At 39.5% G+C, this 21734-nt stretch overlaps 1 protein-coding gene across 7 annotated transcripts in view, besides 1 other annotated feature; it reads right to left on the reverse strand.

The window, feature by feature from the left end:
* SMYD3 (SET and MYND domain containing 3) overlaps positions 1–21734 on the reverse strand; it is a 757933-nt gene that overhangs the window by 610111 nt on the left and 126088 nt on the right. The gene's annotated exons all lie outside the window — the stretch shown is intronic.
* Positions 10913–11119: a silencer, noted in NCBI's record as "fragment chr1:246533672-246533878 (GRCh37/hg19 assembly coordinates)". NCBI's record gives its function as "represses an EF-1alpha promoter that drives an FKBP-Casp9 reporter gene in an ReSE screen in K562 erythroleukemia cells {active_cell/tissue: K562}" and the evidence as "EXISTENCE:reporter gene assay evidence [ECO:0000049][PMID:32094911]".

Genomic DNA, 21734 nt, shown 5'->3' on the forward strand with positions numbered 1-21734 from the left:
ATTCTCTGAAGCCAGTATCACCCTAGTACAAAAACCAGGGAAGGAGTTAACAAAAAATTAAAACTACAGACCAATATTCCTGATGACACAGATGCAAAATTCCTCAACAAAATACAAGCTAACTGAATCCAGCAGCACATCAAAAAGATAATTCATCATGATCAAGCGGGTTTCATACCAGGGATGCACGGATGGCTTAACATCCATAACTCAAATGTGATATGCCACATAAACAGAATTAAAAACAAGAATCACATGATCATCTCAATAGATGCAGAAAAAGCATTTGACAAAATTCAGCATTCCTTTATGATTAAAACCCTCAGCAAAATCGGCATAGAAGGGATACACCTTAAGGTAATGAAAGCTATCTAAGACAAACCCACAGCCAACATTACACTGAACAGGGAAAAGTTGAAATCATTCCCCCTGAGAAATGAAATCAGACAAGGATGCCCACTTTTACCACTTCTACTCAACATAGTACTGGAAGTCCTAGCCAGAGCAATCAGACAAGAGAAAGAAATCAAAGGTATCCAAATTAGTAGAGGAAGTCAAACTGCTGCTGTTTGTTTGCTGATGATATGATTGTATACCTAGAAAGCCCCAAAGACTCATCCAAAAGCTCCTCGAACTAGTACATGAATTCAGCAAAGTTTCAGGATACAAAATTGATGTACACAAATCAGTAGCTCTGCTATACAGCAACAGCAACCAAGCTGAGAATCAAATCAAGAACTCAATCCCTTTTACAATAGCTGCAAAAAAATAAAATAAAATAAAATACTTAGGAATACACCTAACTAAGGAGGTGAAGACCTCTATAAGGAAAACTACAAAACACAGATGACACAAACAAATGGAAACATGTCCCATGCTCATGGATGGGTAGAATCAATATTGTGAAAATGGCCATATTGCCAAAAGCAATCTACAAATTCAATACAATTCCCATCTAAACACCACTATCATTCTTCACAAAACTAGAAAAAAAAAATCCTAAAATTCATACGGAACCAAAAAAGAGACCACATAGCCAAAGCAAGACTAAGCAAAAAGAACAAATCTGGAGGCATCACATTATCCAACTCCAAACTATACTACAAGGCCACAGTCACCAAAACAGCATAGTACTGTTATAAAAATAGGCACAATGAAACAGAATAGACAACCCAGAAACAAACCCAAATACTGACAGCTAACTGATCTTCAACAAAGCAAACAAAAACATAAAGTAGGGAAAGGACACCCTATTCAACAAATAGTGCTGGGACAATTGGCAAGCCACCTATAGAAGAATGAAACTGGATCCTCATCTCTCACCTTACACAAAAATCAACTCAAGATGAATCAAAGACTTAAATCTAAGACCTGAAACCATAAAAATTCTAGAAGATAACATCGGAAAAACCTTTCTAGACATTGGCTTAGGCAAAGACTTCATAACAAAGAACCCAAAAGCAAACGCAACAAAAGCAAACATAAATAGATGGGACTTAATTAAACCAAAAAGTTTCTGCACAGCAAAAGAAATAATCAGCAGAGTTAACAGACAAACCACAGAGTGGGAGAAAATCTTCACAATCTATACATCCGACAAAGGACTCATATCCAGAATCTACAAAGAACTCAAACAAATCAGCAAGAACAAAACAGTTCCATCAAAAAGTGGGCTAAAGACATGGACAGACAATTCTCAAAAGAAGATATACAAATGGCCAACAAGCATATGGAAAAATGCTCAACATCACTAATTATCAGGGAAATGCAAATCAAAACCACAATGTAATACCACCTCACTCCTGCAAGAATGGCCATAATCAAAAAATCAAAAAAATAATCGACGTAGGCACAGATGCAGTGAAAAGGGAACACTTTTACACTGTTGGTGGGAATGTAAACCAGTACAACCACTATGGAAAACAGTGGAGATTCCTAAAGAACTAAAAGTAAATCTACCATTTGATTCAGCAGTCCCACTACTGGGTATTCTACCAAAAGGAAAAGAAGTCATTATACAAAAAAGATACCTGCATACACATTTATAGCAGCACAATTTGCAATTGCAAAAATATGGAACCAGCCCAAATGCCCATCAGTCAACAAATGGATAAAGAAAATGTGGTATATATATACACCATGGAATAACACTCAACCATAAAAAGGAACAAAATAATGGCATTCGCAGCCACCTAGATGGAATTGGAGACCATTAATCTAAGTAAAGTAACTCAGGAATGGAAAACCAAACATCGTATGTTCTCACTCATATGTGGGAGCTAAGCTATGAGGATGCAAAGGCATAGGAATGATACACTGGACATCGGGGACTCAGGAGAAACGTTGGGAAGGGGTGAGGGATAAAAGACTACACATTGGGTACAGTGTACACTGCTCAGGAGATGGATACACCAAAATCTCAGAAATCCCCACTAAAGAGCTTATTCATGCAACCAAACACCACCTGCTCCCCAAAAACCTATTGAAATTAAAAAAGAAAAAGAATCTCAGAGAAAAAAATAATAACGCATGGCCCTGGACCCATAGATCTCCATGTACTACAGGAGAATGCTGTGGTACGCACCCCCAGCACCGCCCCCACAAAAAAATGTCCTTTTTAAAAACTTTGGTAGAATATACGTAACATAAAATTCACTATTTTAACCATTTTAAGTGCCCTACTTCACTTCATAGATACTGATCTCTCCATATCAAATTCAAATCCAGTCCATAAACTGGTTAAAAGTATTTTATACCCTTCAAATATACAAATTTTGTCTTAAATTATCATATAGTTTAATTATGAATATACTCCTCCTGAGAAATGGTTTTAAAATTCCATTTAATTCAATTACTACTTTAGACATGCTGAGTTGAGATGCTTTAACTATCTCCCCCAAATCACCTGGGTGACAAAAAAGCAGATATTTTTAAAAACCTGAATTATAGCTCTCCCTCTCCCTCTCCCTCTCCCTTTCCCACGGTCTCCCTCTCCCTCTCCCTCTCCACGGTCTCCCTCTCCCTCTCTTTCCACGGTCTCCCTCTGATGCCGAGCCGAAGCTGGACTGTACTGCTGCCATCTCGGCTCACTGCAACCTCCCTGCCTGATTCTCCCGCCTCAGCCTGCCAAGTGCCTGCGATTGCAGGCGCGCACCGCCACGCCTGACTGGTTTTCGTATTTTTTTGGTGGAGACGGGGTTTCGCTGTGTTGGCCGGGCTGGTCTCCAGCTCCTAACCGCGAGTGATCCGCCAGCCTCGGCCTCCCGGAGGTGCAGGGATTGCAGACGGAGTCTCGTTCACTCAGTGGTCAATGGTGCCCAGGCTGGAGTGCAGTGGCGTGATCTCGGCTCGCTACAACCTCCACCTCCCAGCCGCCTGCCTTGGCCTCCCAAAGTGCCGAGATTGCAGCCTCTGCCCGGCCGCCACCCCGTCTGGGAAGTGAGGAGCGTCTCTGCCTGGCCGCCCATCGTCTGGGATGTGAGGAGCCCCTCTGCCTGGCTGCCCAGTCTGGAAAGTGAGGAGCGTCTCTGCCCAGCCGCCATCCCATCTAGGAAGTGAGGAGCGTCTCTGCCCGGCCGCCCATCGTCTGAGATGTGGGGAGCGCCTCTGCCCCACCGCCCCTTCTGGGAGGTGAGGAGCGTCTCTGCCTGGCCGCCCCGTCTGAGAAGTGAGGAGCCCCTCCGCCCGGCAGCCGCCCCGTCTGAGAAGTGAGGAGCCCCTCCGCCCGGCAGCCACCCCGTCTGGGAAGTGAGGAGCGTCTCCGCCCGGCAGCCACCCCGTCCGGGAGGGAGGTGGGGGTTAGCCCCCGCCAGGCCAGCCGCCCCGTCCGGGAGGGAGGTGGGGGGGTCAGCCCCCCGCCCGGCCAGCCGCCCCATCCGGGAGGTGAGGGGCGCCTCTGCCCGGCCGCCCCTACTGGGAAGTGAGGAGCCCCTCTGCCCGGCCACCACCCCGTCTGGGAGGTGTACCCAACAGTTCATTGAGAACGGGCCATGATGACAATGGCGGTTTTGTGGAATAGAAAAGGGGGAAAGGTGGGGAAAAAACTGAGAAATCGGATGGTTGCCGTGTCTGTGTAGAAAGAAGTAGACATGGGAGACTTTTCATTTTGTTCTGTACTAAGAAAAACTCTTCTGCCTTGGGATCCTGTTGATCTGTGACCTTACCCCCCAACCCTGTGCTCTCTGAAACATGTGCTGTGTCCACTCAGGGTTGAATGGATTAAGGGCTGTGCAAGATGTGCTTTGTTAAACAGATGCTTGAAGGCAGCATGCTCGTTAAGAGTCATCACCACTCCCTAATCTCAAGTACCCAGGGACACAAACACTGCGGAAGGCCGCAGGGTCCTCTGCCTAGGAAAACCAGAGACCTTTGTTCACTTGTTTATCTGCTGACCTTCCCTCCACTATTGTCCTATGACCCTGCCAAATCCCCCTCTGTGAGAAACACCCAAGAATGATCAATAAAAAAATAAATAAATAAAAAGGAAAAAGAAAAAAAGAGAGAGAGGCAGGAGGCTTAGAGTCAGAGAAGTCAATGTGGTGCTGGGATCTGAGAAAAAGAACCTGGAAGATGGTCAGTTGCTGGCTTTGAAGATGGAGGAAGACACTGAACCAAGGGATGCAGGACAAGCTGGAAAAGGCAAGGACACAGATTTTCCCTGGAGCTTCCCAGAGGAAGCCAACATCTGGATTTTAGTCCCATAAGACTCATCTCAGATTTGTGAGCTCCAGGACTGTAAGGTAATAAATGCGTGTGGTTGTAAGCCAAAAAAAAAAAAAAAAACCTGAATTGTAAAATAAAAACAATAAATCTGATGGTAAAATTCACAGTGACAAGGATCAGACGGGACTGTGTATAGTTTCAAGGTGGTCAAGGGCTCTAAAAGTCAACCTATAATACTAACATCAATGACAAAACAGAACAGCTCTTTCTAAGCACTTCTGATATGACAGGCACAGTACGAAGCTCTTTACATCTATTAACTCACACTAAATTTGAAACAGTTCTGTATAAGGTAAGCAGTCTTATTATGCCGACTTTAGAGATATTTCAATACGTTTTCAAAAGATAAAAAGTAGATGGAGTAGTACACACTGCTAAGGCATCACACCATAAAGTGAAAGTGGCAGGTGATACTGAAAGGATAAAAACGGAATCCTATAGAGAATCAGAACTTGAATACATCAGGTACCTCACCCCTGAAAGAACAGAAGTGAGTTATGGGACGTAAAACATGGGGAGTGGTTAAAAGTCTAAATAAAGCAACATCAAAAAATTCCATCCACCCCCAAGTGCAGAACTCTAGCTTCTAGGTATCAATACTCCAGCAACAAGCCAAACCCAAACAATCGGGCCCTAGAGTTCTTGATTGTAACCACACACCACACTACCATTCTTCAGTGAAACTGGATACAATCAAGTCAACACTTAGCTGTTCATGAGACACACTTCAAACAAAAGGACATGCAATGGTGGAATGAAAAGGATAGTTCAGACAAATATGAACTCAAAAAAAGCCTGTGTAACTACATAAGTTTCTGAAAAAAAGAGACTTGAAGGTTAAAAGCATTAATAGAGATAAAGCCAATACACAGTGACAAAAGACTTCCATCACCAACTGTTACATACAAAGTAACCAATATACCCAGTCTCAAAATCTATAAAGTATACATCACAGATCTCTAAGGAAAAAATGACCCATATACAATAAGTTAAAGCAGGGCCTGGAATACAGCAGGTACCATATAAGAGTTAGACATTATAAATTCTCTTTCAGAAATTCATAGATCTAGAAGATAAAGAATAAGTAGATAAAGAAGATAAGAATAAGACCAGTCTGGGCAACATAGTGAGCCCTCATTTCTACAAAAAAAAAAAAAATTAAAAAATTAGCCAGGCATGGTGTCACAAGCCTGTGGTCCCAGCTACTTGGGAGGCTGAGGTGGGAGGATGGCTTGAGCCCGAGAGACTGAGGCTACAGTGAGCTGTGATCACACCACTGCACTCCAGCCTGAGCAACAGAGTGAGACCCTGTCTAAAAAAAAAAAAAAAAAAAAAAAATTAGGAATATAAGAATATTACTCAAGATTCAGTCGGGTTAAAAACAAGGGAATTCTGGGGAAATGATGGCAGTGATGTAATTTTTTAATCTCCTCGACTCTCCCCATAAAAAAAAAGTAGGACAGTAAAACCTAATCACCACTCCCCACCCTGGAAAACATCAATAACAAACCTCAAAATATGACTGGGTGGAAAAAACTATGAGTGGTTCTGAGAGCAGAATTAAATCAGTATCTTTATTGTAGGAAACAAGGCAACTTAACTTCCAACAGACCTGTAAACAAGGAGGCCCCAAATCGCCAAAAGCTGTCCAGCATAGAATGCCAAGCCAATCTGAGAACCGCAGCCAAAACTGGGAGAGGGTTCTTTCTTTAGCAAACCTCTTTAAGATGAATTCCCCAGGGCTGCTCTGAACCCTGCCTTCCCTAGACCTGGCTCCTCAGATTTTCTCACTTCCCTCTCTCTTGTCTAAGTTAATCAGAGGCTATGTCTGTTGGCTAAAAATAAAGATCCACAAGTACATACAAAATGTTTGTTCTTGATTTTAAAAAATAACGAGCAGAATCAAGATACCTAAGAAGCTCAGGTGATGAACACCTAGCAAATATCAATCCTTCATTTCCTCCTCCCTCCCATAGCTACCAAAAAAACGCTATAATAAATGTTGACACAGAAGTTTGGTAAACTAACTAACAAGATAATTCAGAGTACTTGAATAATTTATGTGTCATTTAAGGTGTGATGGCAATTCCTTAACATGAGTTATTTAAATGTTTGGGATTGTTTTTACATATTAAATGACTAAATAAATAAATCTAAATTCTTACTTTCAAAAAAAAGGCAAGTTGAGTCCAAGAAAAAAGTGATGTGTGCTTGATTAAACCAACTACTGAAACTTTGATATGTTACTGCTTTTCTCTTTGGGGCATGGTTCAGAGCAGCAGCCCCCTGGCAGGCTCCCCTGCAGAGAAAATACTTGGGCAGCAGTGAGAGGGAACAGGAGGTCAGCAGAAACACAGCCACCAGACAGTACGAGAAAACCTTCTTTTTCTCTTAAAAAAAAAAAAAAGCAAGAGGGCCACATCTGTAATTTCAACCTCAGTGACACGCTTGGGGAGCATAGAATCATCTCAAAAACAAAATTGGCCAGGCACGGTAGCTCACGCCTGTAATCCCAGCACTTTGAGGTGGGCGGATCACGAGGTCAGGAGTTTGAGACCAGCCTGACCATGGTGAAACCCTGTCTCTACTAAATATACAAAAATTAGCCAGGCATGGTGGTGTGTGCCTGTAATCCCAGCTACTCAGGAGGCTGGGGCAAGAGAATCGCTTGAACCTGGGAGGTGGAGGTTGCAGTGAGCCAAGATCATGTCATTGCACTCCAGCCTGGGCGACAGAGCGAGACTCCATCTCAAAAAAAAAAAAAAAAAAAAAATCACCACATGTCATTTCAAATTGAACAACAAAGCCGTATTTTTTGGGGAAAAAAAGAGAAATGTCTATGTCAAATCAAAAACATAATTAATTAGCAGTTTATAGAAAAAGGACCACTTATTTTAGGTAGCTTCAGAGGCTAAAACAAGAAATAGTGAATGGAAGTTAGAGGAGGGCAGATTTTACCTAAATTGTAACGATTTTTCTGGTGACAGCAACTGTTCAGAAGTCTAATGCAATGCCTTGAGAAGCGTAGGGTTCCCAGTGACTTGACATGTTTAAGGAGAATCTAGTAGTAAGTATATTTGCTAGACATGAGGTAAGAGAATTTCCAGTATTGCAAAAGAGAAGGAGTTAGATAAGTTTTCTTCCAACTCCAAAATTATTTGGTTTTGTTTCTCTTGTGCAACCAATAAATATAAACTAAATTTGAAGATGACAGAAATTGTGCATATTTTAAGGCAAAGTATGGTGGTCTCAGAAAGGTAGAGAACATGCTGTTTGCAGAGTGTTTGTCTAAAAAGTCGATCCAGAACTGGAGTTTCTGAATGAAAAACCGCAACCTCTGCCTCCCGGGTTGAAGCAATTCTTATGCCTCAACCTCCTGAGTAGCTGGGATTACAGGCGTGCACAAACACGCCCAGCTAATCTTTGTATTTTAGTAGAGATGGGGTTTCACTGTGTTGGCCAGGCTGCTCTCGAACTCCTGGCCTCAAGTGATCCGCCCACCTCAGCCTCCCAAAGTGCTGAGATTACAGGCGTGAGCCACCATGCCCAGCCAAAAAATAATCTTAAAAAAATAAGTGAGGAATGTATCAGTCAGAGAAAAGTGATTTTTACCTTTTTTCCCTTCATTTCAAAGATGAATATTAGCATTGTACCACCAAATAAGAGAAGATATTGATATTATTTTTTACCAAAATAAATGGGATCGTTAGCAACCCACCCTCTTCAAAAAAAGCAAAAAGGAATCCCCTATCACTTGTTCATACAAACCTGACTCTAGAGAACGGAGTGTCATATCAAAGAAAATTCTTAGGTTACTCAGTGTCCCAGACACAGTGGTTCATGGAGCACAAGTTAAGTCCTCTCTTCTGGGTATAGGCTGGGCCATAATTAGTTTCTCCAACAGCCTAAGCTACTGAAATGTAAAAAGAAAATAAAAACTGGGCAAAATTAATTGTTCTTCAGTCTTCCAGTATACAAATTAAAAACTTAGATATGGGTATAGCAGGAACAACCATCTCTAAGAAATTTTTAAGAAGTGGGGCGTGAAATTAATTGAGTCACTCAAATCTCAACTATGGGGGTACTATCTTAGGGACCATCTCTCTATCCTTCTTGGGTGTCAGAGGGAAAGAGTATGTCCATGTTTAGAAACTCTGTGCTAAAACCATAAAACCAGTTACCAGACAGTAGGAAGGAAGTTTCCTGGAATGGATATAGAAAACAAAAAAATCCTAGTGACTCCCAAATTCCCCCCAGCCCTGGGACCCACAGAATCCACTTTAAACTTCCTATAGAGAAAAAAATTCATCTACAACACATTCCTATATAATCAACTCATTATTCAGAGCTCCTTCCTAGTAACATGTCTTAATTACCTAAAAGTCTCTGTGATGGTTAATACTGAGTGTCAACTTGATTGGATTGAAGGATGCAACATATTGTTCCTGGGTATGTCTATGAGGTTGTGGCCAAAGGAGATAAACATTTGAGTCAGTGGACTGGGAAAGGCAGACCCCCCCTCAACCTGGGTGGGCACCATCTAATCAGCTGCCAGCACAGCTAGAATCAAAGCAGGCAGGAGATCGTGAAAAGGCTAGACTGGCTTAGTCTCCCGACCTACACCTTTCTCCCATGCTGGATGCTTCCTGCCCTCAAACATCAGGCTCCAAGTTCTTCAGTTTTGGGACTCAGACTGGCTTCCTTGCTCCTCCGCCTGCAGATGACCTATATTGGGACCTTGTAATCATGTGAGTTAATTCTTAATAAACTCATATATACAGATAGAAAGATAGATAGATATTCCATTAGTTCTGTCCTTCTAGAGAAATCTGACTAATACAACCACTTAGCAGCTGTGTAATACTAAGCAGTTTAACCTCTCAAAACCACTGAACTAAAATGAGCATAAATAATAATAATAACATTACATGGGCCCTGAGATTTAAATGAAACTTAAAAACTTAATATCATGCTTGGTTCACAGAAGTGCTCGGTAACTATTACTCATTATCATCACAGTTTTACTATTATTTTAAGATTTTTAAATTGCAAACTTTCAAGATGTTTCTAGATATCATCTGAAATATCTTAGTACTAACAGATTAAACAATACTAATATATTAACTAGTTTAGCCACTGTACACAAATTCAGAATTTTATAAACCTTTGAATGTTTATAATCCTTAGAATATTTTTCCTAGTTATTTTTGGGAAAATTTCAGAATTTTTAAAAATTGAAGTGATTACACCCACCATCCACCTATCAAATGGCTATTAACACACACCAGTAGATGTGGTCAAAATTGTACAGACTCATAGGAAAATAGAATTGATTTGGATTCATTTTTCTTTCTTTTTTATTTTTGAGACAGGGTCTCGCTCTGTTACCCAGGCTGGAGCACAATGGCACAAACACAGCTCACTGAAGCCTCTACCTCCCAGGCTCAGGTGATTCTCCTACCTCAGCCTCCCAAGTACCTGGGACCACAGGTGCATGCCACTACACTTGGCTAATTTTTTAAATTATTTGTAGAGACAGGGTCTCCCTATGTTGCCCAGGCTAGTCTCAAACTTCTGGACTCAAGCAATCCTCCCACCTCAGCCTCCCAAAGTGCTAAGATTAGAGGCGTGATTAGATTAGAGCCACTGCACCCAGCCTGGGATTCCTTTTTCTACATTCCATTTCATCTTATTTCACATTTCTAACACAAAGTATAAAACAAAAAAAAAAATGTAATGGTTAGTATTTCGAGGAAAATTAATCTATACTTCACTGGCACCATACCTTCCTAGGAGAAACACAAGCACCTTAAATCCAGCACTTTGGGAAAAGCACAGCAAAATATGTGGACCCAGTTAGAATCCGAGAGGCAGACCAGCTGCTTGAGTACTCCCCTTCCACTGTCTGCAACCCTCTAAACTAAAGCTAATATCCTTGTGGAGCCTGTGCCATCTGATAAACACAAACCCCAGGTGTGAATTCAACAAGTGCTCAGCAACCGGCCACCATGGGCATCATCGCATAACGTCCCGGGTGGATGACAGTGGAGAGGGTAATGCAGTCACTGCTTCTTGGAGATGGCAATCAAGAAAGGCAGACCAACACACATCACTTGCAGAATGAACCATAATACAAAACCATTTTTTGAGAAGTGACACAGACTATACAGGACCCCAGTTCAGGTGAAGGAAATGTCACTTTCTGATGAATAAAGAGTGAGTGGCAGAGAATGGTAGGACTATTTTGGGGGACAAGGAAATAAAAGGTTTTAGTAGTTTAGGGTTCAAAACCTGCAATACTTACTAGGGGCGTACCCTTGTAACATCTTGTAGCCTCAATTTCCTCCTCTGCAAAGTGGGAATAAGTGACTTACTCACGGGACTGCAAGGCAAACTATGAGATAATCTATATGGAGCGCCTGCTAACACAGCACCAAGCAAAGTATTTAGTGCAGAGTTAAAACTGAGGCTGCTGGGTGTATTCTCAAATTGTTCAGGATAGTTTTGTCCATCTCTATCAGAAAAGTTTCTTCTATATCACTTCCATGGTTACTAAAAACGGAAAAAAGCTACATCTACGTGTGTCACAAATGTCGTCATCTCCACACAGGTACACAGACCATTTATTAATACCACTTTTTGAAACCCACATGTAGCCAGACTACTTGGCTCTAATTTCAAATTTTGACTAGTATCCTAAGTATTTGATACCTCAATCTACATTCACTGAAGTCATAAGTTTTAATGTGATCAGAATAACTGACTTCAAAGTGGTCTAATTCAAGAAGCTCCAACTTTAAAGTTGTAAAAATGCTTTTTGAAGGTTGCATTTGTAGAAATGAAATTTGAAAAGACTATTAAATATTCAATAATATTAAAAGGCAATTACAACTCCTAACATTCTGTTTGCTTTAGGCAAGGTAATGTCTGTAACAAGCTAAGGAGCAAATTAAAACGCCAGGGTCCTTATGTTTTATAACAACACGGTTCTAAACTCTCCTCATCATACTAACAGTATTTAAAAGATTATACACTGCCTGTTGTAAGTCACTCGGACAGCTAATCATTGGAAATAAGTGAATTAAGAATCGGTATTAAAATACACTGGCTTGTTTTTCAGGTGGAGCACAGTGAGTAGACTGGAGAAAGCTGTGACCAAGATGAACTGCAGAAAAGGAAGTTTTTTCTAGTAACAACACCCGTCCCTAAATAAGCAACCTCTTCAGTCTAGTCTAGTAACACAACTCTGATCATCTAAGAGATGTGTTCAATTTCCCTAAGTCTTCTTGAAATCTAAAATAATTTTTAAAAAATGAGGAAGAAGAAAAAAATCTGATTTTTCCCAAAGATTGAAATCAAACACCCTTTAGGTGTATAACTATTGCTAGTACAAATATCACAGTAAATACATTTTTAAAAAGTACCATGGGTAAAATTTCAAATAAGGTATAACAATATTTGATCAATATTTTCATAACATACTATGACGTAAGCCTTCAAAATGGCAACAGATGCCCACCTTGAGTTCAGTTCCAGAAAATATTTTGTCACTCTAGAAAAATTCTCTCTCTTACTTCCTCCAATTAGAAAACAACACATCAGCACCATGCTTCCACTTCAGCTTCGGGGGTGGGAAAATCAAAAGCTAAATTCACTAATTGGAGTCGTTTGTTCATTTAAGAGGCCTGAAGCCATCTTCTCCTTCTGCCTGCTTTAAATATTTGCTCTTCTGTTTTACAATTATGTATAATACTTTGTTTAACTTTTAACTGTAAATTGCCTCAAGTCTCCTTGGAACTAAGCAATGACAAAATCTCAATTAATTCATTCTCTCTTTTGGAAAATAAAATGACACTTTAAGTTTATAAAGAAAGACTAGCATGCTGCCTAGTTCCTAAGTAAAGAAACCTTCAAAGAAGAGGCCTTAAGAGACATGGAATTAAATGTTACAGCTGCAAGTGCACTATAATTAATTACAAATTCTCATCGATTTTTATTAAGAGGTCAATCATCTGCTGATAGCCATGGAACGACAGTTAACGGGGGTTGGTGCAAGCACTTTGATGCCTGCTGACCCTCCTCTAGTGAGCATGTTGTATGCCCAAGAGAAGGCTCTCCATGGCCCTAAAATACCACTCAGATATTTTTCTTATCAAACACCCATCTGAGTTTGAGCATATCTTTTTATTCTATTTTTTTAGCACATGTCTGTAGCAGCCAGAGAGTTTAAGAATACCTTGAGATGAAGTATAGACATCCCTCTAAAAGGCTATGACTACAAGTCATTTGCACTTAGTATGAATTAATTTATTCAGATAATCTTACTTCCTTTTTCCACTTAGCTGAGATTTTAGGAATAGAGATTTTGCATAGAGTAGGTACAGAAAGAGGAGATAACAGTGCTGAACATTTAAAAAGCCTAGAAAGAAGCCTGTAATCCCAGCACTTTGGGTGGCGGAAGTGGGTGGATCTCTTGAGGGCAGGGGTTAGAGACTAGCCTGGCCAACATGGCGAAACCCCATCTCTACTGGCCAGCTGCAGTGGCTCACGCCCGTAATCCAAGGACTTTGTGGGGCCGAGGCAGGCGGGTCACCTGAGGTCAGGAGAGAGGAGAAAATGCAGTATAACAAAAAGGGAGTTAGAATGTATAAGAACATTTCATTTTCCATAAAGTTTGGAGTCAGGCCCAACATGCTCTCAAGTATGAAATACAGAAAGTACAAGGAGGAGGAAAAATTCTAAGAGAACTGAAGAGAACTGTACTTTAAGCCTGGCTGCTTCATTTACTGCTCTCCATCTACAGGCAATGAATAAATGTATCCACCCCTAAAGGTATTCTAATCATAATAATAAAAGCTACCTAGAATGTCAAAAGGAATTTTCATATCACATATACATTGTAAAATTAAGTTTTTTCAATGTATTAAAAAAAAGACTGAAAAGAAATAGACCAAAATATTGATTTTTTTCTTTAAATGATACGAATTGGGGTGATTTCCCCCTCCTTTTATTTTTTCCATTTTTCAGTTTTATATAACAAGATTATTTTACTTCCATGATCAAATAAACATAAACATTAATGAAAAGGAAATATGTATTATTTAACAGCCTTAAATTGTGTCTAGTCTAACGCAGGGCATAGAGAGAAGGACAGACAGACAGATAGGTATGTCAGCTTTAATTACAATTTATTCCAATGTTTAGAATAGTAAACACAAATATATACTTTATTCAAACATAATTTAAATTAAATATTCTTTATTAATTGAATTTATTTCTAACTGGCATTAGCTACAAAGGATGTTATCAAATGAAATATTTCTTAGTTTTTGATAACATGAGAAGCTGACAACTTACAATAATAAAATCAGTATCATATGCTAAATACAAAAATCTAATAGTTCTGGATTTAATATCTTCCACAATATAAAAAGCAATCATTTCAGAAAAGAAACCGTTATTAAAAAGAAGAAAAGCTTTTGCCATATGGAACTTGGGTTGCTCAGCCTTTTTCTGAAAAGATGTCTCAACTTCATCTGATGGTTCATATTTTATCATTTTCTTTGACTTATATGAACTTGAAGGTCACCCAGATAAAGTAAAACTTTATTCTTTTATATTAACTTTTATTTGATTTGGAGTTAGTCAATCAAAACATTACTTGTTTGAAAATATAGACATGGAGAAATCTTTAACAAGCAAGATATGACAGAAATTAAAGGCTATTCCACAAAACAACCCTGCCATTCATTCACTGATTCATTCTTTCAACAAAAATATACTGACCCCCTTCCAAATGCCAAGCACTTAATTAGAAACACAGTGGGCACTGTCCATTGTTTACCCAAAAACCACCCCACTCTTTCCTAGCATGAAGAAATACTGTGATTTGCTGATGTAGCAAACACAGAACTCTTGATTTCAGGGAGAGGAGATTGCCAGAGCCGGGGAATAAATCATGATTAATCTAAACTTAAAAAAAAAATGTATCCCTCATGGGCACTGGCCACTCTAAGAACAAGCCATGTGGCCCGGTTTTGGCTAATGACCTGTAAACAGGTACACTCACTTCTCATTATTCATATATTCCATATTTGCAAATTCACTTATTCACTTATATTTATCTGTAACTCCAAAATCAACAGTCACAGCATGTCTGCAGTCAGTTGTGGACAGAAGAGGAAAGGCCAAAAATGTGTGTCGCCCAATATGTATGTTCCCAGCTGAAGTCAAACAAGAAGACACTGCCTTCTCAGCTCTCACAGTGTAAGCGTCCTTTTTGCAGACCACTTGGTGCTCTGTTTTTCTCATTTTTCTCGATTTGACTGTATAATATGGCCCCTAAGCACAGTACCACAGTGCTGTCTCGTGTCCCTAAGCACAAGAAAGTTGTAATATATGCCTCACAGAGAAAATGCATGTTTTAGATAAGCTTCACTGAGGCATAAGTTATGGTGCTGCTGACCCTGAGTTCAATGTTAATGAATCAACAATATATATTAAATAAGGTGGCCGGGCATAGTGGCTCATGCCTGTAATCCCAGCAGGAGTGTGAGGCCGAGGTTGGTGGATCACTTGAGGTCAGGAGTTCAAGACCAGCCTGGCCAACATGGCAAAACCCCATCTCTACTGGCCAGGCGCCGTGGCTCACGTCTGTTATCCCAGCAGTTTGGGGGGCCGAGGCAGGCGGATCACCTGAGGTCAGGAGTTCAACACCAGCCTGGCCAACATGGTGAAACCTCATCTCTACTAAAAATACAAAAATCAGCAGGGCATGGTGGCTCATGCCTGTAATTCCAGCTACTCGGGAGGCTGAGGCAGAAGAATTGCTTGAACTTGGGAGGTGGAGGTTGCAGTGAGCCGAGATCGCGCTGTTGCACTCCAGCCTGGGCAACAGAGTAAGACTCCGTAGCAAAAATTAAAAAAAATAAAATAAGGTGTCTTTAAAAAGAAACACATAATAAAACAAGGTTATGTACTGATCAGGTGACAAATATGTTGTGACTAGAGGCTTTCAGGAACCTAATCCTGTATATCTACTAGGAGGAATGAATGGCTCAGTATTGGCTAATTCAGTTTTCACAGTAACTTTATAAAACATACCTACTGGAAATAATAAAAATGAACTACATTTCTAATGAGAGACTTTTTTTTTTTTTTTTTTTTTTTTTTTTTTTACCAATTTTCAACCTTCTCAGCACAAGACACAACATGAGAGTAAATGCCACCACTCTGTTACATCAAATAGCCAACTTCCAATTTTTGGATGAGAAAAATAAGTTAACTATTTGTTTAAGCCACTACAGTGGAAGTGTATTCACAAAGATGTAACAAAATGGTGCTTCCTCCTTGTCAGTAAACAGTACAGTGGTCCTGAAAGAACACAGCGAAGATGTTCTACATTCTAGCATACCAAGTCTTACATATGCTGCTTATTTTCTAGTCAAATAGAGCAGCACGTGTTAATACTTATATTTCTGCCCTTCAAAATTAAGGTCAAAAGATCGGCAATAATGTGAACTGGCTAAAATCTAATTTTTTTATTGTTGTTGTTTTTGTTTTTGTTTTGAGACAGAGTCTTGCTCTGTCACTCAGGCTGGAGTGCAGTGGCATGATCTCGGCTCACTGCAACCTCCGCCCCCTGGGTTGAAGCAACAATCCTGCCTCAGCCTCCCAAGTAGCTGGGATTACAGGTGTGCACCACCACGCCTGGCTCATTTTTGTATTTTTAGTAGAGACGGGGTTTCACCATGTTGGCCAGGCTGGTCTCAAGCTCCTGACCTTAAGTGGTCCACCAGCCTCAGCCTCCCAAAGTGCTGGGATTACAGGCATCAGCCACCACACTTGGCCTTAAAATCCAATTCTTAATAAAGTTTTGGACTTTATTATTACTTAGAAATATGCCTAGCTTCTCAAAAAAACTATTTTGACACGTGATAAAGGAATGTCTGGAAAACAGATATGGTCTGATTAAGATATAAATATGATGGTATAAATATTACAGTATTACATATATATACACACACAGCTCTCTACGTGTCTTGCTATTTCATATTGATAGAACCGATCTTATGTTCATATTGATGGACATTAGTGTTGATAACAATGTTTTAAGCTATTATAAACAAGCAGGGCACAGTAGCTTTGGGAGCCCAAATCCTAGCACTTTGGGAGGCCGAGGTGAGCGGATCACCTGAGGTCAGGAGTTCAAGACCAGCCTGGCCAACATGGTGAAACCCCATCTCTACTAAAAATACAAAAATTAGCCAGGCGTGGTGGCAGGTGCCTGTAATCCCAGCTACTTGGGAGGCTGAGGCAGGAGAATGGTGTGAACCCAGGAGGCAAAGGTTGCAGTGAGCCAAGATCACGCCACTGCACTCCAGCCTGGGCAACAGTGCGACACTCCATCTAAAAAAAAAAAAAAAAAAAAACTAAACATAAATAAACCAGTATAAACAACATTACAATGAACACATACTTGAACTGTGCACTTATACAATTCTTTCCAAAACTTTCTGGTCTCAGTCCTGACTTAAAAATTACTGAAGGATCTTAAAGAGGCTTTACTTAGGTCGACTTCTCTACTGATATTTAATGTATTACAGATTAAAATTAAGACGTTAAAAAAATAACGTATTGGCCGGGAGTGGTGTCTCACGCCTGTAATACCAGCACTTTGGGAGGCTGAGGTGGGCGGATCACCTGAGGTCAGGAGTTCAAGACCAGACTGGGCAACATGGTGAAACCCCATCTCTACTAAAAATACAAAAATTATCTGGGCATGGTGGCGCACAACTGTAATCCCAGCTACTCAGGAGGTTGAGGCAGGAGAATCACTTGAACCCGAGAGGCAGAGGTTGCAGTAAACCGAGATCACACCATTGTACTCCAGCCTGGGCGACAGAGGCTTTGTCTCAAAATAATAATAATAACGTATTAATTCATTCAAAAGTAAGAATCCTATTACATGTCAACATATTTTAATAAAAAATAACTAAATTTTTCAAAACAAAAATAAGTTAGTGAGGAAAGTGGTAATGTTTTACTTTTTTGATAATCCTTTTAATGTCTGGCTTAATAGAAAGCAGCTAATTTTTTTTATGTTTCTTCATTCAATCTACTGCAATGTAGCTTCTGGAAGACCCACAGTATACTCATGAGATAATAAGAATAAAAAAGGCAAATAATTCTTTTTTTTTTTTTTTTTGAGACGGAGTTTCACTCTTGTTGCCCAGGCTGGAGTGCAATGACGCCATCTCAGCTCACCACAAACTCCGCCTCCCGGGTTCAAGCGATTCTCCTGCCTCAGCCTCCCGAGTAGCTGGGAGTACAGGTACCTGCCACCACACCTGGCTAATTTTGTATTTTTAGTAGAGATAGGGTTTCTCCATGTTGGTCAGGCTAGTCTTGAACTCCCAACCTCAGGTGATCTACCTGCCTCAGCCTCCCAAAGTGCTGCGATTACAGGCGTAAGCCACCATGCCCAACCATAATTCTGAATTATTATCATGAAAATAGTTTTCACTTAAATCCCTGAAAGTCCCATGGGTACTCCCAGAGGCCTCCGGACTCCACTCTCATTCCATTTCTTTAAAGTATGTATTCCTAGAAGTAAAACTGCTGAGTTGCAAGAAAGCACAACTTGAACAATTTTGCATATTGACAAACAGGTCTCCAAGGCAGCTGGAGGAATTTACACTCTCACAGCCATATAATGAGAGTTCCCCTAAATCTGTATCTCATCACCTCTTGATACCGTCATTTCACATTCTGCCGGTCTGATGGGTGAAAATGTTATCTCAATGTGCTTTCCCTTGACAAATGGTCAGGGTTTGAGCATCTTTTCATGTCTATTCACCATGCATAATTTCCCTTTTATCAACTGCCTGTTCATAGCATTTGCATATTTTCTACTGAGTTTTCTTAGTGAATTTAATCATTTGTTGAGTGCCTGTTTTACAAACTCATTTCTCACAGACTGTGTCTGTATTTCACAACTAGGCACTATGAAAGAATATAATACTGTAATTAAATAGCTTACACTAGTGCCACGTGGCCTGGAATTAAAATTTAGTTGACCACTGTGATGGTTGATACTGAGTGTAAACTTGATTGGATTGAAGGATTGATCCTGGGTGTGTCTGTGAGGGTGTTGCCAAAGGAGATGAACATTTGAGTCAGTGGACTGGGAAAGGCAGACCCACCCTTAATCTGGGTGGGCACCATCTAATCAGCTGCCAGCACAGCTAGAATAAAAGCAGGCAGAAAAATGTAAAAAGAGAGACTGGCCTAGTCTCCCAGCCTACATCTTTCTCCCATGCAATGCTTCCTGCCCTTGAACATCAGACTCCAAGTTCTTCAGTTTTGAAACTCGGACTGGCTCTCCTTGTTCCTCAGCCTGCAGATGGCCTATTGTGAGACCTTGTGATTGTGTGAGTTAATACTTAATAATCTCCCCTTCATATATATATATATACACACACACATATATATATACACATATATATACTTAATAAACTCCCCTTTATATATATAATATAATATATTATATATTATATATAATTATATATAATATATTTAATATATTATATATAATTTAATATATTTAATATATTATTTTTATATATTATATATAATATATTTATATAGTATATATAATTATATATAATATATTTATATAGTATATATAAATATATTATATATATAAAGCAATCTCCCTGTTTATAGCTCATTTATAACAATCCTCAGAAATGGAAATTTGTAATTGATCAACCTTGACTAAACAAGAAGATTCCCAATGGCAATAAACTATAACATCTATTTCCCCCCAGAGAAAATGAGAAAGAAAACAATATTTTATATATATATTATTAAGTATATATATACTTACACACACATACATACACACACACACACACACACACACACACACACATATATTCCATTACTTCTGTCCCTCTGGAGAACCCTAACTAATACAACCATTTAGCAACTGTGTAATACTAAGCAATTTAATCTCTTGAAACCACTGAACTAAAATGATAATAAATAATAATAATAACATTACATGGGTGTAATAAGAATAAAACTTTTAAAAACTTAATATCATTCTTGGCTCACAGGAGTGCTCAGTAACTATTACTCATTATCATCACGGTTTTATTATTAAGATTTTTAAATTGCAAACTTTCAAAAGCTGTTTCTAGATATTATTTGAAATATCTTAGAACTAATAGATTAAACAATACTAATATATTAAACAGCTTAGCCTTTCTAGAAAATCAGAATTTTATAAAGCTTTGAATGTTTATAACTCTTGGGATGTTTTTCCTGGTTATTTTCAGGTCCTTCACATATCTAACAATGAAAAATTACTGAATTAACGTAACAGTTGAAGTTATTCGCAGAAGTAACCATAGGTATAGCTAAACAGTAACTACTTCTTAGCCTGAAAGCAACCAAATATGAATACAATAACAATGAACCTAATGTTTCTGGAAAAATCATTAATCCAACTGACTTTTAAAAGTTTTGAAAAGGCCGGGTATGGTGGCTCACGCCTGTAATCCCAGCACTTTGGGAGGCCAAGGCGGATGGATCACTTAAGGCCAGGTGTTCAAGACCAGCCTGGACAACACGGTGAAACCTCATCTCCACTGAAAATACAAAAATTAGTCAGGCATGGTGACACACACCTGTAATCCCAGCTACTCAAGAGGCTGAGGCAGGAGAATCACTTGAACCTGGGAGGTGGAGGTTGCACCTCCCAGGGAGGTCGAGATCACACCACTGCACTCCAGCCTGAGGATCAGAGCAACACTCTGTCTCAAAAAAAAAAAGAAAGAAAGAAAGAAAAAAAAAAGTTCTGAAAAGTCAACGTCCATACCCAAATAGATGGAAAACTTCTACACATTTTTCTCATATCTCAGAAAAATATTCAGAGATAATACAGTACATTAAATACTTTTATTTTTCTACCTAGATAATAAGGAAGGCTGAGAAAATCTTAATGCATCACCTTCATCCTCTCCTATACACACTAGGCTAATACGAATAGTTTTCAATACAGGAGAAAAAAGATAATTAACTCTTTTCAGGTAAACTAACCCATTTCACTAAAAAGCAATCTCCCTGTTTATAGCTCATTTATAATAATCCTCAGAAATGGAAATTCGTAATTGATCAACCTTGACTAAGCAAAAAGATTCCCAATGGCAATAAACTATAACATCTATTTCCCCCCAGAGAAAATGAGAAAGAAAACAACTTTTGAAATGTCATTACTTGAATGCTTTTTAAAAACTATGTGATATTTTAAATGGAAAATGTTAATTATCTTTTAAAGACCTTCTTCTGAATGCCATATCCTTCCTATTGTTGCTGTTCTTTCATTACTGGTCCCATAAATACACTAAGAGTCTTTTTGTACCATGGCTCTGGTAGGTTCTGGATATATAAGGATCAATAAGACAGTTCCTATTTTCAAGGACTGTTGATGCTACGACAGAGGCAGAATAGCAGGAACAGCAATAATGCTCACCAAGCGCCTATTATGTGATGTCAGGTTCTGTGCTAGATACCTGTAACATGCAGTTGTTGAAAAGTAGGAATCTTGAAATTGAGATATCTGAAGTAATAGTTACTGTGCTGGGGTGTGGCCATGGGTATAGCCATGGGCTACTGTCCTAGGCTATGGCCATGGGAAGAGGTAGCTAGGGTAAGGTAAAGGCAAAGAGAATTGGAAGTGGGGACAAACAGCCCAGGTGTCAGATGGATGCTCAATTCGCTAAGAATGATGTTGCCAGTAATGATAAAGAAAGAAAAAGTGAGCCATGAATGTTAAGGAATAACTGGAAGGTGAGGTAATGGGGAGTAGAATGGCAAATGCTTCAGAGGAGCTGGCAATTTTGAGGAAGAGGAAAAATGGTGTAAATGGATGAAGAGGAGCAAAACTGACACTCTCTGACTCTCTAGGCCTCTAGTCTTAAAGGACTTACTCTCACTGGCCAGAA

This window comes from Homo sapiens, chromosome 1 (assembly GCF_000001405.40).
Source record: "Homo sapiens chromosome 1, GRCh38.p14 Primary Assembly".
NCBI classification, from domain to species: domain Eukaryota; kingdom Metazoa; phylum Chordata; class Mammalia; order Primates; family Hominidae; genus Homo; species Homo sapiens.